General features: G+C 35.4%; 1 annotated feature.

The window, feature by feature from the left end:
- Positions 5928-6562: an enhancer, noted in NCBI's record as "OCT4-NANOG hESC enhancer chrX:21064982-21065616 (GRCh37/hg19 assembly coordinates)". NCBI's record gives its function as "activates a minimal SCP1, AML or CMV promoter by ChIP-STARR-seq in naive H9 embryonic stem cells {active_cell/tissue: H9 hESC(naive)}" and the evidence as "EXISTENCE:reporter gene assay evidence [ECO:0000049][PMID:30033119]".

The raw sequence follows: 18243 nt of genomic DNA, 5'->3' as shown, positions 1-18243 counted from the left end.
TTTGCCTATTTTTTGATTAATCTGATTAGGTTATTTATTTTACCATTGAGTTGTTTGAATACCTTACATGCTTTAAATATTAACCCCTAAACTAAAAAATAGTTTTGAGAAATAATATACAGAGACCCCAAATACCCTTCACACAGTTTCCTTAATGGAATATTAACCTCTTATAAACTCCATATGACTTGCAAATATTTTCTTTCATTCCTTAGGTCATCTCTTAACTCTGTTGATTGTTTCTTTTCCTGTGCATGAGCTGTTTAGTTTGGTGGAATCCCATTTCTCTTCCTTTGCTTTTGTTACTTGTGCTTTGGGGTCATATTTAAAAAAAAGTCATTGCCTAGATCAATGTCATGAAACTTTTTCCTATGTTGTCTTCCTGGAGTTTTACAGTTTCAGGTTTTGTGGTTAAGTTTTTCATCCATTTTGACTTGATTTTTGTGTATGGAGTGAGATAAGGGTTCAATTTCATTCTTCTGTATGTGAATATCAAATGTTTCCAACACTATTTATTGAAGAGACTGTCCTTTCCTCATTGTGTGTTCTTGGCATCTTTGTCAAAAATCAATTGATCATCAATGCCTGGATTTACTTCTGGGATTTCTATTCCACTTAATTGGCCTATGTGTTTGTTTTTACACCAGTACCATGCTGTTTTCATTGCTTTGTAGTATATTTTGAAATCAGGTAGTATAATGCCTCCAGGTTTATTCTTTTTGCTCAATTGTTTTGGCTATTAGCGGTTTTTTGTGTTCCATATGAATTTTAGGATTTTTTTTTCTATTTATGTGAAAAATGTCGTTGGAATTTTGATGGGAATGTCATTGAATCTATGTATCACCTTGAGTAGTATGGACATTTTAACAATACTAATTCTTCCAATTCAAGAACACAAGATGTCTTTCCATTTATTTGTGTCTTCAGTTTCTTTCGTATATGTTTTGTAGTTTTCAGTGTACAGATCATTGACATCCTTGGTTAAATTTATTCATAAGTATTTTATTTTTTGTAGCTATTGTAAATGGTATTGTTTTCTTTTCAGAAAGTTTATTATTAGTGTGTAAAAATGGTACTGATTTTTGCATATTGTTTTTGTATACCGCAACATTACTAAATTTATTTGTAAGTTCTAACATTTTTTGGGGGGGAGTCCTGAGGGTTTTCTATATATACGATAAGGTCATTTAGAAGCCTTGTTTTTTTCACACTAGAGAAATTGTAGTTGTGTCCATAAAAACTTTAATAATGACATGCATTAATTTATTTCTCTAAGTTTATACTTGTGGTACTCTATCATTTCAGAATAATTGTGTTTTTTGTGATGCAAATCTTTTCCACTAATTCAAACTGAAAGGGCAAATTTTAGCCTGCCCTTTGTGATTTCAGAAAACATTTACTCATTCCCTTTAGAATATTAGTTTATTTCCAAGTATTATTTAGTCATTTTAGTTTTCCTATAAATGATAGCTGCATGTAAAATATAAAACCGATTATAATCTCTTATTGTTAAAAATTTCCCCCAAATTTTAACATGAAATAGTCCTGCAATTCCTGGTGCTTATCTGAACCAATAAATATAATCATTTTACTATTTATGTATCTACTTTGAGTTATAAATAAATCCAGGAGCCATATCTTACCTTAAAATTCATATTCAATTATCTAGCAGCCTTATTTTTTAAATAAGGATTAAGACAAATGTACTGCTATTTTTACTTCATTTCAACATTGTTGTGGTGATTCTATCCAGCATGGTAAGATAAGAACTAAAAAAAAAAAAATAGAATTTATTAGATTGGAAAAGTAAGAAATAAAACTACCACCATTTACAGAATACACAATTGCCTACACAGAAGACCTGAAAATGCTTATAGAAATATTACTAGGATTGGTAAGAAGTTTCAGCAAATTCACTAAAAATAAGATATATACATTAAAATCTATTATATTTAGAAAATGTAAATTTTATTTTTTATTTTATTTATGTGTTTATTATTTATTTATTTTAAAGCTTCTATTTTAGATTCAGGGGTACATGTGCAGGTTTGTTATATAAGTAACCTCCTGTCACTAGGGTTTGATGTACAGATTATTTCGTCACCCAAGTACTAAGTCTAGTACTCAATAGTTATTTTTTCTGACACTCTCCCTCCTCCCACACTCCACTCTCTGGTAGGCCCCAATGTCTGCTGTTTCCCTCTTTGTGTCCATGTGTTCTCATCATTTAGCTCCCACTTATAAGTGAGAACATGTGGTCTTTGGTTTTCTGTTCCTGTGTTTGTTTGCTAAGGATAATGGCCTCTAGCTTCATCTATGTTCCAGCGAAGGACATGATATTGTTCTTTTTTATGTCTGCATAGTATTCCATGGAGTATACGTACCACTTTTTAAAATTTAGTCTACCATTGTTGAGCACTTAGGTTGATTTCATATCTTTGCTATTGTGAATAGTGCTGCAATTAACATATATGTGCATGTGTCTTTACAGTAGAATGTTTTATATTTCATTGGATATATACCCAGCAATCCCAGTTAGTTCTGTTTTTAGCTCTTTCAGGAATCGCCACAGTGCTTTCCACAATAGTTGAACTAATTTACACTCCATGGTGTACATGTACCACTTTTTGAAATATTAAAACATTTTCTCCCATTCTGTATGATATCTTTTTACTCAGTTGATATTATCTGTTGCTGTGCAGAAGCTCTTTAGTTTAATTAGATCCCATTTGTCACTTTTTGCTTTTGTTGCAATTGCTTTTGGCATCTTTGTCATGAAATCTTTGACAGTTCCTATGTCCAGAATGGTATTGCCTAGGTCGTCTTCTAGGGTTTTTATAGTTTTGGGTTTTACATTGAAGGCTTTAGTCCATCTTGAGTTGATTTTTGCATGTGGTGTAAGGAAGGGCTCCAGGTTCCATCTTCTGCATATGACTAGTCAGTTATCCCAGCACCATTTATTGAATAGGGAGCCCTTTTCCCATTGCTTGTTTATGCCAGCTTTGTCACAGATCAGATGGTTATAGGTGTGAGACCTTATTTCTGTGCTCTCTATTCTGTTCTATTGGTCTATGTGTCTGCTTTTGTACCAGTGTGATGCTCTTTTGGTTATTATAGCCCTGTAGTGTAGTTTGAAGTTGGGTAGGGCGATGCCTCCTGCCTTGTTCTTTTTGCTTAGGATTGTTTTGGCTATTCAGGCTGTTTTGGTTCCATATGAATTGTAAAGTGTTTTTTATAGTTCTATGAAGAAGTTCACTGGTAGTTTGATAGGAATAGCCCTAAATCTGTGTTGCTTTGGGCAGTATGGCCATTTTAACAATATTGATTCTTCCTATGCATGAGTATGGAATATTTTTCCATTTCTTTGTGTTGTCTCTGGTTTATTTCAGCATTGTTTTGTAATTCCCATTGTAGAGATCTTTCAGCTCCTTGGTTAGCTGTATTCCTTGATATTTTATTCTTTTTGTGGCAATTGTGAATGGTATTGCGTTCCTGATTTGGCTTTCAATGTAGCTGTTTTTGGTGGATAGAAATGCTAGTGATCTTTGTATATTGATTTTGTATCCTGAAACTTTGCTGAAGTTGTTTATCAGCTTAAAGATATTTGGGGTGAGACTATGGGTTTTTCTAGATACAGAATCTATCATCTGCAAACAGGGATAGTTTGACCTCCTCTCTTTCCATTTGGATGCCCTTTATTTCTTTCTCTTGCCTGATTTCTCTGTCCAGGACTTACAATACTATGTTGAATAGGAGCAGTGAGAGAGGGCATTCTTGTCTTGTGCCAGTTTTCAAGGGAAATGCTTCCAGCTTTTGCCCATATGGTATAATTTTGGTTGTGGGTTTGTCATAGATGATTCTCATTATTTTGAGGTATGTTTCTTCTACACCTAGTTTATTGAGAGTTTTTCAAATGAACAGGTTGTTGAATTTTATCAAAAGCCTTTTCTGCATCTATTGATATTATTATGTGGCTTTTGTCTTTAGTTCTGTTCATATGATGAATCACATTTATTGATTCGCATATGTTGAACCAAGCTTGCAAGCTGGGGATAAAGCCTACTTAATCTTGGTGGATTAGCTTTCTAATATGCTGCTGTATTTGGTTTGCTAGTGTTTTGTTGAGGATTTTTGCATTAATGTTCTTCAAGGAGTTGGCCTGAAGCTTTCTTTTCTTATTGTGTCTCTGCCAGGTTTTGGTATCAGGATGATGCTGGCCTCATAGAAGGAGCTGTAGAGGAGTCCCTCCTCCTCATTTTTTTAGAATAGTTTCAGTAGGAATGGTACCAGCTCTTCTTTGTAAATCTGATAGAATTTGGCTGTGAATCCCTCTGGTCTAGGGCTTTTTTTTTTTTTTTTTTTTTTGGTAGGCTATTACTGATTCCATTTTGGAGCTCATTATTGGTATGTTCAGGAGTTCAATTTCTTCCTGGTTCAGTCTTGGTGGGATGTATTTGTTTGGGAATTTATCCATTTTTTCTAGATTTTTCTAGTTTGTGTGCATAGAGGTGTTCATAATACCTTCTGATAGTTATTTTTATTTCTGTGGTGTCAGTGGTAATAACCCCTTTGTCGTTTCTAATTGTGTTTATTCGGATCTTCTGTCTTTTCTTCTTTATTAGTTTAACCAATAGACCAACTATCTTATTAATTTTTTTAAAGAAAGCATCTCCTGGCCTCGTTGATCTTTTGAATGTTTTTTGTTGTGTCTCAGTCTCCTTCAATTCAGCTCTGATTTTGATTATTTATTGTCTTCTGCTAGCTTTGGGGTTTGTTTGCTCTTGCTTCTCTAGTTCTAGAAGATGTAACTTTTAAAAGGTGCCATTTTCAGCAGAATTTTAAAAGATACAAAGTAATGGATCTAACAAAAGATGTATACAACTTTTATGGGGGGAAATTACAAACTGTTATCACATTACTTTAAAGAAAAACCAAAGAAATTGTGAGAAATGTTTATGGAGAGGAAGATTCAATGATTATTAATGTTAATTGTCCCAAAATAAACCTAAGAACTTAATATAGTTCCAATTAAAAAACATTCATAGAAATGATAAACCCAAATTCTGGAGTCGGGGAAATGTGAGAAGGGACATAAAAGCTTTTTATTGTTTTGTACTTTTTTTTCTTAATCTAGGTAGTTGGTACACAACTGTTAATTATATTCTTTTCCTTTTTTATTTCTGAAATATTATGTTTAAAAGAGGAGTACTGAGTGTATGACTATGGCATTTTACTGGTGTCTACAAGCCAGCCTCACAGAGTAACTGCTAATTTAATATAGCTTCATATCTATATGCATTTTCACACTGGATTCTCTATTTCTTACTTCTGTGTGAATTAAAGCAGGTCACTTACTCTCCGAAATCCTCAGTTTTCACATTTATAAAATGTACTACAGAATTCAAAATTTCTAAAAAAAAAACGTTTTTAAAGAATAGGACGAAGTATGCTCTCAGTAAATTTTAGTTTGTTTCTTTATGAGGGGAGATTGTCAATCTTGTTCAGATAGAAGCATCTGGGATTCAGTACCCTTTGAGAAACACTATGAAATCCTGACATATTTAACTCAATCTTGGAAAGTAGGAGCAATTTTATACAAACTGAATATGGCATAGGTATGCAATATACAACGACCTGCAGAAGAGGGGGCCTGAGGGTCAAAAAAAAAAAAAACTAACAGACAGAAAGCAACAACAACAACCACAACAAAAAAGACCCCCACACAAAAACCCCATCCAAAGGTCATCAGCCTCAAAGATAAAAGGTACATAAATCTATGAAGATGAGGGAAAAACAGTGCAAAAATGCTGAAAATAAAAAAAAAACAGAATGTCTCTTCTTCTCCTGCCCAAACAGCCACCCTAGTTTTGTGCTTGAAACCCAGGGCCCTGGTGGTACAGGCTCATGAGAGAATCTCCTGATCTGCAGATTGCAAAAATCCATGGGAAAAGCATAGTACCTGGGGCAGATAGCACAGTCTCTCACTACTTCCCTTGGCTGGGGGAGGGAAGTCCCCCAGCTCTTTGCATTTCCTGGATGAAAGGATGCCCCACCCTGCTTCTGCTCACTCTCCATGGGTTGCACCCACTGCCTAACCAGTCCCAATGAGATGAACTGAGTAACTTAGTTGGAAATGCAGAAATCACCTGCCTTCTGCATTGGTCTCACTGGGAGCGGCAGACTGGAGCTGTTTCTGTTCAGCTATCTTGGGCTCTCCCCAATAAACCTTTTAAAGAAAGGTTTGATATGTTAATTAAACTATTAGGCATGTTTAAAGATGTTTTCATTGTGCTGGGCAGAGCCCCTATGTCTTCCTATTCAATGGCTTGTTTGCTTTACATTCCAGGGCTTATCCCACCCCCGCCCCCACAACAAGACCAATTGAAGGATTTTCAACTAAACTCTAATACTGGTGCTTTTTTTCTCAACTCACAGGGAGGAAATGTTAGGCTAATACATGGACATTTTTCAATCTTATAATTGCATGTATAAATTTTTTTCACACTGGTTGCTAAGAGTGCTAGCAGATGACAAAAATGATTGAAGTGGCAGCAATGCAGACCAGTAGAGTAATTTAGAAACTTTTATGCATATGTGTGATTCTTGGAGATGTACAAAGAGACTTAGACTCCCACACAATAATAGTGGGAGACTTTAACATCTCACTGTTAATATTAGACAGACCAATGAGACAGAAAATTAAGAAGGATATTCAGGACTTGAACTCAGCTCTGGATCAAGTGGACCTGATAGATATCTACAGAACTCTCCACCCCAAATCAACAGAACATACATTCTTCTCAGTGCTACATGGCACTTATTCAAAAATTGACCACGTAATTGGAAGTAAAACACTCCTCAGTAAATGCAAAAGAACAGAAATTGTAACAAACAGTCTCGCAGATCACAGTGCAATCAAATTAGAGCTCAAGATTAAGAAACTCACTCAAAACCACACAACTACTGGAAATTGAAAAACCTGCTCCTGAATGACTACTGGAAAAATAATGAAATTAAGGCAGAAATCAAGAAGTTCTTTGAAACCAGTGAGAACAAAGAGACAATGTACCAGAATCTCTGGGACACAGCTAAAGCAGTGTTAAAAGGGAAGTTTATAGCACTAAATGCCCACAACAGAAGACAGGAAAGATCTCAAATTGACAATCTAACATCGCAATTAAAAGAACTAGAGAAGCAAGAGGAAACAAATTCAAAAGCTAGCAGAAGACAAGAAATAACGAAGATCAGAGCAGAACTGAAGGATATAGAGACAAGAAAAACCCTTCAAAAAATCAACAAATCCTGCAGCTGGTTTTTTGAAAAAATCAACAAAATAGACCACTAGCTAGACTAATAAGAAAAGAGAGAAGAATCAAATACACACAATAAAAAATGATAAAGGGGATATCACCACTGATCCCACAGAAATATAAACTACCATCAGAGAATACTATAAACACCTCTACACAAATAAACTAGAAAATCTAGAAGAAATGGATAAATTCCTGGACATGTACACCCTCCCAAGACTAAACCAGGAAGAAGTTGAATCCCTGAATAGACCAAGAACAAGTTCTAAAATTGAGGCAATAATTAATAGTATACCAACCAAAAAAAAAAGCCCAGGACCAGAAGGATTCACAGCCAAATTCTACCAGAAAGAGGAGCTGGCACCATTCCTTCTGAAACTATTCCAAACAATTGAAAAAGAGGGACTCCTCCCTAACTCATTTTATGATGCCAACATCATCCTGGTACCAAAACCTGGCAGAGACACAACAAAAAATAAAACTTCAGGCCAATAATCCTGATAAACATTGATGCGAAAATCCTCAATAAAATACTGGCAAACTGAACGCAGCAGCAAATCAAAAAGCTTATCCACCACATTCAAGTCTGCTTCATCCCTGGGATGCAAGGCTGGCTCAACATACGCAAATCAATAAACGTAATCCATCACATAAACAGAACCAATGACAAAAACCACATGTTTATCTCAATAAATGCAGAAAAGGCCTTCAATAAAATTCAACATCCTTTCATGTTAAAACCTCTCAATAAACTAGGTATTGATGGAACATATCTCAAAATAATAAGAGCTGTTTATGACAACCCTGTAGCCAATATCATACTGAATGGGTAAAAGCTGGAAGCATTCCTTTTGAAAACCTGCACAAGACAAGGATGCCCTCTCTCACCACTCCTATTCAATATAGTATTGGAAGTTCTGGCCAGGGCAATCAGGCAAGAGAAAGCAATAAAAGGTATTCAAATAGGAAGAGAGGAAGTTAAATTGTCTCTGTTTCCAGATGACATGATTGTGCATTTAGAAATCCCCATCATCTCAGCCCAAAATCTCCTTAAGCTGATAAGCAAATTCAGCAGTCTCAGGATACAGAATCAATGTGCAAAAATCACAAGCATTCCTATATACCAACAATAGACAAGTAGACAGCTAAATTATAAATGAACTCCCATTCACAATTGCTACAAAGAGAATAAAATACCTAAGAATACAACTTAAAAGGGAAGTGAAGGACCTCTTCAAGGAGAACTACAAACCACTGCTCAAGTAAATAAGAGAGGACACAAACAAATGGAAAAACATTTCATGCTCATGGATAGGAAGAATTGATATTGTGAAAATGGCCATACTGCCCAAAGTAATTTATAGATTCAATGTTATTCCCATCAAGCTACCATTGACTTTCTTCACAGAATTAGAAAAAATTACTTTAAATTTCATATGGAACCAAAAAAGAGCCCATATAGCCAAGGCAATTCAAAGCAAAAAGAACAAAGCTGGAAGCATCATGCTACCTGACTTCAAACTATACTACAAGGCTGCTACAGTAACCAAAACAGCATGCTACTGGTACCAAAACAGATATATAGACCAATGGAACAGAACAAAGACCTCATAAATAACACCACATGTCTACAACCATCTGATCTTTGACAAACCTGACAAAAGCAAGCAGTGGGGAAAGGACTCCCTTTTTAATAAATGGTACAGGGTAAACTGGATAACTATATGCAGAAAACTGAAACTGGACCACTTCCTTATACCTTATACAAAAATTAACTCAAGATGGATTAAAGGATTAAACGTAAAACCCAAAACCATAAAAACTCTAGAAGAAAACCTAGGCAATACCATTCAGTACATAGGCATAGGCAAAGACTTCATGACTAAAACACCAAAAGCAATTTCAAAAAAATCCAAAATTGACAAATGGGATCTAATTAAACTAAAGAGCTTCTGCACAGCAAAAGAAACAAGCACCAGAGTGAACAGGCAACCTATAGAATGGGAGAAAATTTTTGCTATCTACCCATCTGACAAAGGTCTAATATCCAGAATCTACAAGGAACTTAAGCAAATTTACAAGAAAAAAGCAAACAACCCCATCGAAAAGTGGGCAAAGGATATGAACTGACACTTCTTGCAAGAAGACACTTATGTGGCCAACAAACATATGAAAAAAAGCTCATCATCACTGATAATTAGAGAAATGCAAATCAAAAGTACAATGAGATAGCATCTCATGCCAGTCAGAATGGTGATTATTAAAAAGTCAAGAAACAATAGATGCTGGCAAGGATGTGGAGAAATAGGAATCCTTTTACACTGTTGCTGGGAGTGTAAATTAGTTCAACAATTGTGGAAGACAGTGTGGCAGTTCCTCAAGGATCTAGAACCAGAAATACCATTTGACCCAGCAATCCCATTACTGGGTATATACCCAAAGGATTATAAATCATTCTACTATGCAGACACATGCACATGTATGTTTATTGCAGCACTATTCACAATAGCAAAGACTTAGAATCAACCAAAATGCCCATCAATGATAGATTGGATAAAGAAAATGTGGCACATATGCACCATAGAATACGATACAGCTATAAAAAAGAATGAGACCATGTCCTTTGCAGGGACATGGATGAAGCTGGAAGCCGTGATTCTCAGCAAACTAACACAGGAACAGAAAACTAAACACCATATCTTCTCACTCATAAGTGGGAGTTGAACAAATAGAACACATGTACACAAGGAGAGGAACAACACACACTGGGGCCTGTCAGGGGGTGGAGTGCAAGGAGAGAGTGCATTAGCACAAATACCTAATGCATGCGGGGCTTAAAACTTAGATGACGATTTGATGTGTGCAGCAAACCACCATGGCATGTGTCTGGGAACTTAAAGTAAAATAAAAAAAAAAAATTAAAAATATCTCTTGCTTTTTGGTGAGAATTTCTTTACTATCAGGTATTAGGTCAAACATTCCTTCATATAAAGACAAAACTGCTGTTCTAAAATCCAAATCAGGAACTGTTTGAAATACAGTTGACACTTGATCAACATAGACTTGAACTGCAAGTGTCTACTTATATGTAGATTTTCTTTTGCCTCTGCCACTCCTGAGACAGCAAGATCAACCCCTCCTCTTCCTACTCCTCAGCCTATTCAACATGAAGGCAATGACGATAAAGACTTTTATGATGATCTCCTTCTACTTATTGAATTGTAAATGTTATTTTCTTCATAACATTTTCTTTTCTTTGGCTTACTTGATTGTAAGAATGCAGTATCTAACACATACAACATGCAAACTTGTGTTAATCAACTTTTATGTTTTCAGTGAGGCTTCTGATCAATGGTGGGCTATTAATACTTAAATTTTCAAAGAGTAAAATGTTATGTGCAGATTTCGACTATATAGAGGGTTGGTGCCCCGACCCCTCCCTGTGCTGGTCAAGGATGAACTGTGCTTGCATCTTCTAAGATTAAGTTTTAAAGGACTATCCACAAAACTAATTCAGATAGTGAGTTGTATCAAGTGGGAATCAGAGAAACTGCTCCTTAATGTAGGAATTTAGAATGCCCAGGCATTCTAGATGTGGTTGTGTATAAATTTTAATCAAAGATCCTTGTAAATGAAGTCTTGCTCGTGCCCAGACTTTTTCCATTATGACTTAAGGAAATAAATGTAGTAAATATATAGATATAGATAGATTAGATAGATAGATAGATAGACAGACAGACAGACAGACAGACAGATAGATTGATAGATATAGTATTGAAAGAAAACAGATGTTTCTATCCACCTTTTCTCCACAGGCTGTTCAGGATCTATTAAGATAAGAACAGGCAGTCACCTTTCCCAAGATTGTTCAGAAAGTTATGGACTTATTAATTCAATAATATTTGTTGAGTACCTTCTAGGTTACATCACTGTTCTAGATGCTGGAGATATAGCAGTGAACAAAATAAAGTTGATAATGGATGTGTAGTATGTTAGTGATGTTATGAAAAGGAAATTAATCAGCACATGAGAATAGAATGGTGGTTGATGACATGTGAGAGTGGTCAAGAAAGACCTCAACTAGGAGGTGACATTTGAGCAGAGACCTGAATGAAATGAGCACTATCAAGATGTTAGGGAAGACAGTCCATGACAGAGGACAGATTGCCAAGTGCAAAAAATCTGAGGTTGGAACATGTTTTTTGTGCTAGAGCAAGAGCAGAAGGCCAGTGTGTGGCTTGAGCTAACGAAAAAAAAAAGAGCTAGTAGCAGGAAATGAGGTAGGATAAATAGCCAGAGACCATAAAGTGAAGGGATTCATAAGCCACAATAAAGAGTGTAGATACTATTTTAAGTGCAATGGGAAACCACTGGAAGGTATTCAACATGGAAATGACATACACTGACATATTTTTAAAAGGGTCATCCTGGAAACTCTAGAAGAATGAACTATAGAGGGGTAAGAGTGAAAGGGAGGAAACAGAGTAAGAGGTTATTGCAGTCTCATGTCTACAGTCCAGGTGAGAGATCACGGTGGCTGAGACCTGGACTGTGCTGGTGGAAGTAGTGAGATGAGAGCAGAACCTATAATATTTGCTAATGGATTAGATGTGGCATGTAAGAGAAGGAAAGAGATGACTAACTTTTGTGACTTTAGCAAATGTATAAGCAGTGACATCATTTACTGAGATGGGAAACACTGAAGAAGGAGCAGTTTTGTGGGAGAGGGGGGAATCTAGGGTTCATTTTTGGAAATGTTAAACTTGAGATCTCTATAAGAAATCCGAGATCAGGTAGCAGACATGAGACTGGAGTTCAGGGGAAGGTTGAAACTGAAGACATCTGGGAGATATCAGTTTATAAATTGTATTTAGAGCAATGAAATCATCTAGGGAGAGAGTGTAGATAGAGAGGTTTAGGTGTCTGAGGATTAATACTAGGGCATTACAACCTATGGAAATATGGAACAACAACAACAACAACAACAACAACAACAACAAAACAACAGTAAAGGAGACTCCAAAGGGGTAACCCAGCAAAGAAGAAAAACCAGTCCTACAAGCCAAGTGAAAAAAGTATTTCATGAAGAGAATGATCAACTTTAATGAATGATGCAGAGAGCTCCAGGAATATGAAAATTGAGGATTGACACTGAATTTGGCAATGTGAAGGGGACTTAATGAGGCAGATTTCAGTGAAGTGCTGATGACACAAGCCACATTACAGTAGATTTAAGGTATAGTTGGAAGGAAAGAAGTGAAGATTTTATAGTCAACACTTTCAAAGACTTTGGTTGTGGGAATTTTGAAACAAGGAGTATTTTCATGATTGGAGATATTAAAGCATGTTTGTATGCAGATGAGAATGATAGTAAAATTGATGCTGCAGAGAAAAGAGGGATAATTACAGAGCATTGTTCTTGAGGTTGTGAGAAATGTATGAGTAACAATACACAAAGTGGGAAGTTGGCCCTACATAGGAACCAGACAGTTGGTCTTTTATAATTGGAGGGAAGGGAGAGTATATGGGTGCCAATGCGATGAGGGTGGAAGATGTGATAGTGAAGGATATAGAAGTTAGAACTATTTCTGATCAATTTTTCAGTGAAATAAGTCAGCTCATCAGCTAAATGAGGAGTAGGGAAAAGGTGTTGGAATTTTGAGGCAGGAAGCAATTGGATGATATAGTAATCTTAGACAATGGGAGAATTATTTGACCTTAGGGAAGGGTAGTAAGTCTGTCCAGCAGCACTGAAGGTCCACATGTGGCTCATGGTCATAAATTTAAAATGGGCCCACTATACCTTATTACCAATTATGTTCAGAAACTGAGGCGCAGTCATGTAATAGGTGGCAAGATGAACTTAAACCAAGGTTGAGGTTTTGTCTATGGCTACAAGCTGTCTTGGTCCAATTCAGGACACTTCTCTTGAGGTCACATAAGAAGCAACAGAGTGAAATGCAGTAGGTGGACTATAAATTCAGATAAGCTAAAACAAGGATTGCAGGAAGGAGTGGCTAGAGATAAAGCTGGGGAAACAAACAAAAACACCATAGGGAAGATAAAACACTTTATTCATTCCTCAGGCTTTTCCATATGAATCCATCTTCTGAAAAATCTCCAAATTTTGTGATGGGTCCTGATTACTAAGAAGAGAGAGAGAGGCAAATTTGAGAGAATCCATGTTACAGTATTTATTTCCAATTCCCCCATCATTCAATAAACTATTGCCACCAATAGCCCCAAAGCAATAAGTAGTTTAAAGCTATCATACATCTGGATATGAACTTAACTGATCTGTATATGAACTTAACTGTGTGAGAAGAAACAGGAGAAGGCAGTATTATTCAACAACCCATGAGAACTTTGGCTGTTCTTCAGGGCATCTCTTCTCTTCCTTTTCAGATGGGACATACTTTGATACAATATAAAAAGGAAAGCTCAGCAAGGAAACGTCCAAAAGGATGTTTAAAAAGTTTTATGGGGCTGGAGAATGGCAGTTACAGAACTTTTACGTTGTGATCTGTTTTCCAAGAAGTTAGGTTAGGGATATTTTCTGAGAAAATCTTTAAACAAAAATCAATTCACTGGGAAAGAAAACTCTCTATGTGGAAAAATAAAATCTCTCTCTCTCTCTCTCTCTCTCTCTCTCTCTCTCTCTCTCTCTCTCTGTGTGTGTGTGTGTGTGTGTGTGTGTGTGTGTGTGTGTGTGTGTGGTTTGTTATAGCAGGCATGGATTCTGGCTATGGATATAACTATGAATACTGCCACCACAGTTCTTTGCTAATTTTCCAGTTAAATACATTCTGTGTGTGATAGGATCCCTTTTTCAGATTCTGCACATTGGCAGCTGGTTTGCACACTGGCAGCTGTTAAATTTTGTAATTACACAAGTGATAACAGCAGCCTAAATAGGTTTTCATGTTTTCCAGTTCTTCCTTAAGGAAAATGAGCAAGCATTTCCAATGATCATAGATAGAATCCAGACTCCTAGTAAAGAATTTTGGGATCCATATTATAAGGAATCATGTCGAGATGAATCTTAGAAACCAGATTAATAAGCATGGACCTTATCCTAAATGCAAATGAAGAGGGCAAGTAATGAAAATATTTTTTAAAATTTTTAGTATAAAACAACATTGATCCATTATCTCTCATGAACCTGTTGAGTGGTCCTGCTGGTCTTGCTTGGGCTAACTCCTGAAATGGCGTTTAGCTGTAGGGTCTGAGATGGCCTCAGTCATATGTCTGGTGGTTGGTGCTGGCTTCTCACCCTCCACATGGGTGCTCATCTTCCAGTAGGCTAAATTGCTTTTCTTACATGTTGGCCTCAAGGAAGTATCTAAGAGGAGGAAAGTACAAGCTTACATGGTGCTCAACATCAGTAATATTAGGAAAACACGAATTAAAAGCACAATGAGATATCATTTCATACCTAGTAAAATGGCTATTTTCAAGAACATGAAAGATAAAAAGTACTGGAAAGGACATGGAGAAAAGGAAACCCTTGCACACTGTTGTTAGGAATGTAAATTATTACAGCCACTGCCATTATGGAGAACAGTGTGGTGGTTCCTAAAAACAAAAAATGGAACCACCATATGATTCAGCAATCCCACTACGGGTTACTTATCCAAAGAAAACACTATGTCAAAGAGATATATTAGCACCTCCATGTTCGTTGCAGCACTACTGACAATAGCCAAGATATAGACTCAAACTAAGTGCTCATCAATGAATGAATGGATAGATAAAGAAAATATGCTGCATACATAAACAATGGAATATTATTCAGCATTTATAAAGAAGAAAATCCTGTCATTTGTGACAGCCTGTGTGAACATGGAGGACATTATGCTACGTGAGATAAGCCAGGCATGGAAAGACAAATACTGCATGATCTTACTTATATGTGGAATCTAAAACAGTCAAATCCATAGAAGCAAAGAGTAGAATGGTGGTTACCAAGGGCTGGGGTGGGGGAGGTTGGGAAGATATTGGTCATAGGATACAAAATTTCAATTAGAAAGGAGGAATAACTTCAAGAGATCTGTTGTACAACATAATGACTATAGTTAAAAATGAGGTATTACATTTTTGAAAATTGATAAGAGAGTTCTCACAGCAAATAAATATGTGAGGTAATGGATATGTTAATTATCTTAATTTGGCTATTCCACAATGTGTACATAGATCAAAGCATCATGTTGTACACCATAAATATATAAAATTTTTGTTTGTCAATTTAAAAAGTAAATAATTTAAAATCATGTGTACAACTTAAATATATATATATACATAATTTTTCTTTGTTAAGTATACCTCAATAAAGCTGATAAAAACAAATGGATGGAGAAACTTCACTGTTTAGAGAAATAGCATTCATGAAGATCCTTATATTTAATATCTTTAAGGAAATGATTTTTATACTACTTCTTTTGAGATTCATAGTCAACACTTTTCCTTCAATTTATGGTGCCTTCCGTTAATTATAAGCCTCAATTTGAAGTTGTGCTTCTCCCAGTCTTTTAGATGCCAAAGAAAAGCTTTCAGCAACTGCTTGAGCTTGATTGTGTACTGTAGGAGATGCTAAGGAGTGGCTTACTCTTCCATTCCAGCTTTTTTCTAGTGTGGGTTTCTGTACTTCAAAGACTGAAAAACTCCCTTGCAGCCAAGATTTGGAATGTGATTCATGCTCCACCAATCAGATACTATCGTGTGAAACTTTAATTGAGAACTGAGTTAAGTGTAAAGTGTAGATTTTACAAACTTGACTGCTTTCAACAAATATATTCACAATTTTATGATAGTAAATTCACTTATTGCATTCAATTTAGTTTTAAATAATATTGTAACAGAGGAGTTTAAGAATTTTTACCAATGAAGTAGGCTAGGCCATTTTTTCAGATAGTTCTTTTTGGTTATGTTATGCTCACCATAATAGATACAAGGTTTTAAAATGTGTTTATCATTTTATTTCCAAAACATATACACATACCTTAACACAATGAACTCTTTTGTTTTTATTTTTCAATTGTTTTTAATAATTAAGAGACTTACTATAGTAAAATACAATTTTTACATTCATGTGGTGATATGGTTTGGATCTGTGTCCCCAGCTAAATCTCATGTTGAATTGTGATCCCCAGTGTTGCAGATGAGGCCTGGTGGGAGGTGATTGGATCGTGGAGGCAGATTTCTCATGAATGACAGTACCATGCCCTTGTACTGTCCTCACAATAATGAGTGAGTTCTCATGAGATCTAGTCATTTAAAAGTGTAAGGTATTTTCTCCCTCCTCTTGCTCCTGCTCTGGCCATGTGACATGCTTGCTCCCATTTCATTTTGTGCCATGACTGTAAGCTTCCTGGGGCCTACCCAGAAGCGAAGCATATGTTAGCATCATGCTTCTTGTGTAGCCGGCAGAACCATGAGCCAATCAAACCTCTTCTCTTTATAAATTACCCAATCTCAGGTATTTCTTTATAGCATTGTGATAATGGACTAGTATATATGGCAAAGGTAGTTTCTTATATTGGTGTCAACACTATATTTGTAAAAAGTAAAGCCTTCTTGCCAAAAATGTATGGAAAAGCATGAAATGGAATTTTGCTGGTTTTCTCACCAGGAAAATTGTTTTCTGTTCCAGCCATATAAGCATCTTTTAAAGTAGCATTGCCTCTAGTTTCATCATTTGTAATTTCAAGATTATAAACTGTCTTTGTGTGGTCCCCTTATAACTTGCTGCATTACTATGAGTTTTAATGATAGGTTTCTTATAAAGAAGCTAAAAACAGTTGACTGACACTGATGGACTAGAATTTGTACAGAAAATACACAACTATAACATTAGCTTATTTTTGAGGATCTAAAAATCAAATCAATTGAACTCATAGAGAATAGAAGGATGGTTATGAGAAGGTGGGAAGGGTAGTGGGGGAAGGTGGGCATGGTTAATGCATACAAAAAATAGAAAGAATGAATAAGACCTATTATTTGATTACACAATAGGGCAACTATAGCCAATAATAACTTAATTGTGTGTTCTAAAATAACTGAAATAATATAATTGAATTGTTTGTAACTCAAAGGATAAATGCTTGAGGGAATGGACACCCCATTCACCATGATGCACTTATTTCATATTGCATGCTTGTATCAAAATATCTCATGTACCGCATAAATGCATACACCTAATATGTATCCACAAAAGAAGTTTTTTTTAAATTAAAAATTCTAAAAATGAAAAAAAAATCATATAAAAATATTTCTATGTGATAATGGACTAATATATATTGCAAAAGTAGTTTCTCATATTGGTGTCAACACTATATTTGTAAAAAGTAAAGCCTTCTTGCCAAAAATGTATGGAAAAGCAGGAAATGGAATTTTGCTGGTTTTCTCACCAAGAGAATTGTGTTTTCTAGTTTTCATTAAGGAAATCTACATATTGTAAAAGGAATCTACATATTGTAAAATTCATTAAGGCAATCTACATATTGTAAAAGTCTTTAGCTATCTTGATGTGTCTTGAATACACAAATATTTTTAAATTATTTTTCTCAGCATTGATCACCAACGACACAAAATATATAACTTGGTTAGTTTTACACTATTTATCTTAGATCCTGAGTTTTGTTCAAATATTTCTTTTAAAAAGTGGAAATCTACTATTGGTCATAAAAATTAATTTTCTAATCTGTTTCTTCAAAAATTTAGTCTTCAATAGTCCTCTCAGGAGATATCAAGGAATTTACATCAATACATTAGTATATTTATGATGTAAATGCAATAATGTATATGGAACCTTTAAAATCAATATAAATATGCTATTTTTATTAATATACATCTTGAGGTGGTTAAGGAATGTTAAAAACCTTGCTCTTAACTCCAGATGGCATTTTATTGTGTGTGAATAATGAGTCTCAAAGAA

This window comes from Homo sapiens, chromosome X (assembly GCF_000001405.40).
Source record: "Homo sapiens chromosome X, GRCh38.p14 Primary Assembly".
NCBI lineage: Eukaryota > Metazoa > Chordata > Mammalia > Primates > Hominidae > Homo > Homo sapiens.
The sequence above is the reverse complement of the archived record's forward strand: the minus strand, read 5'-3'. Positions and strand labels throughout refer to the sequence as shown.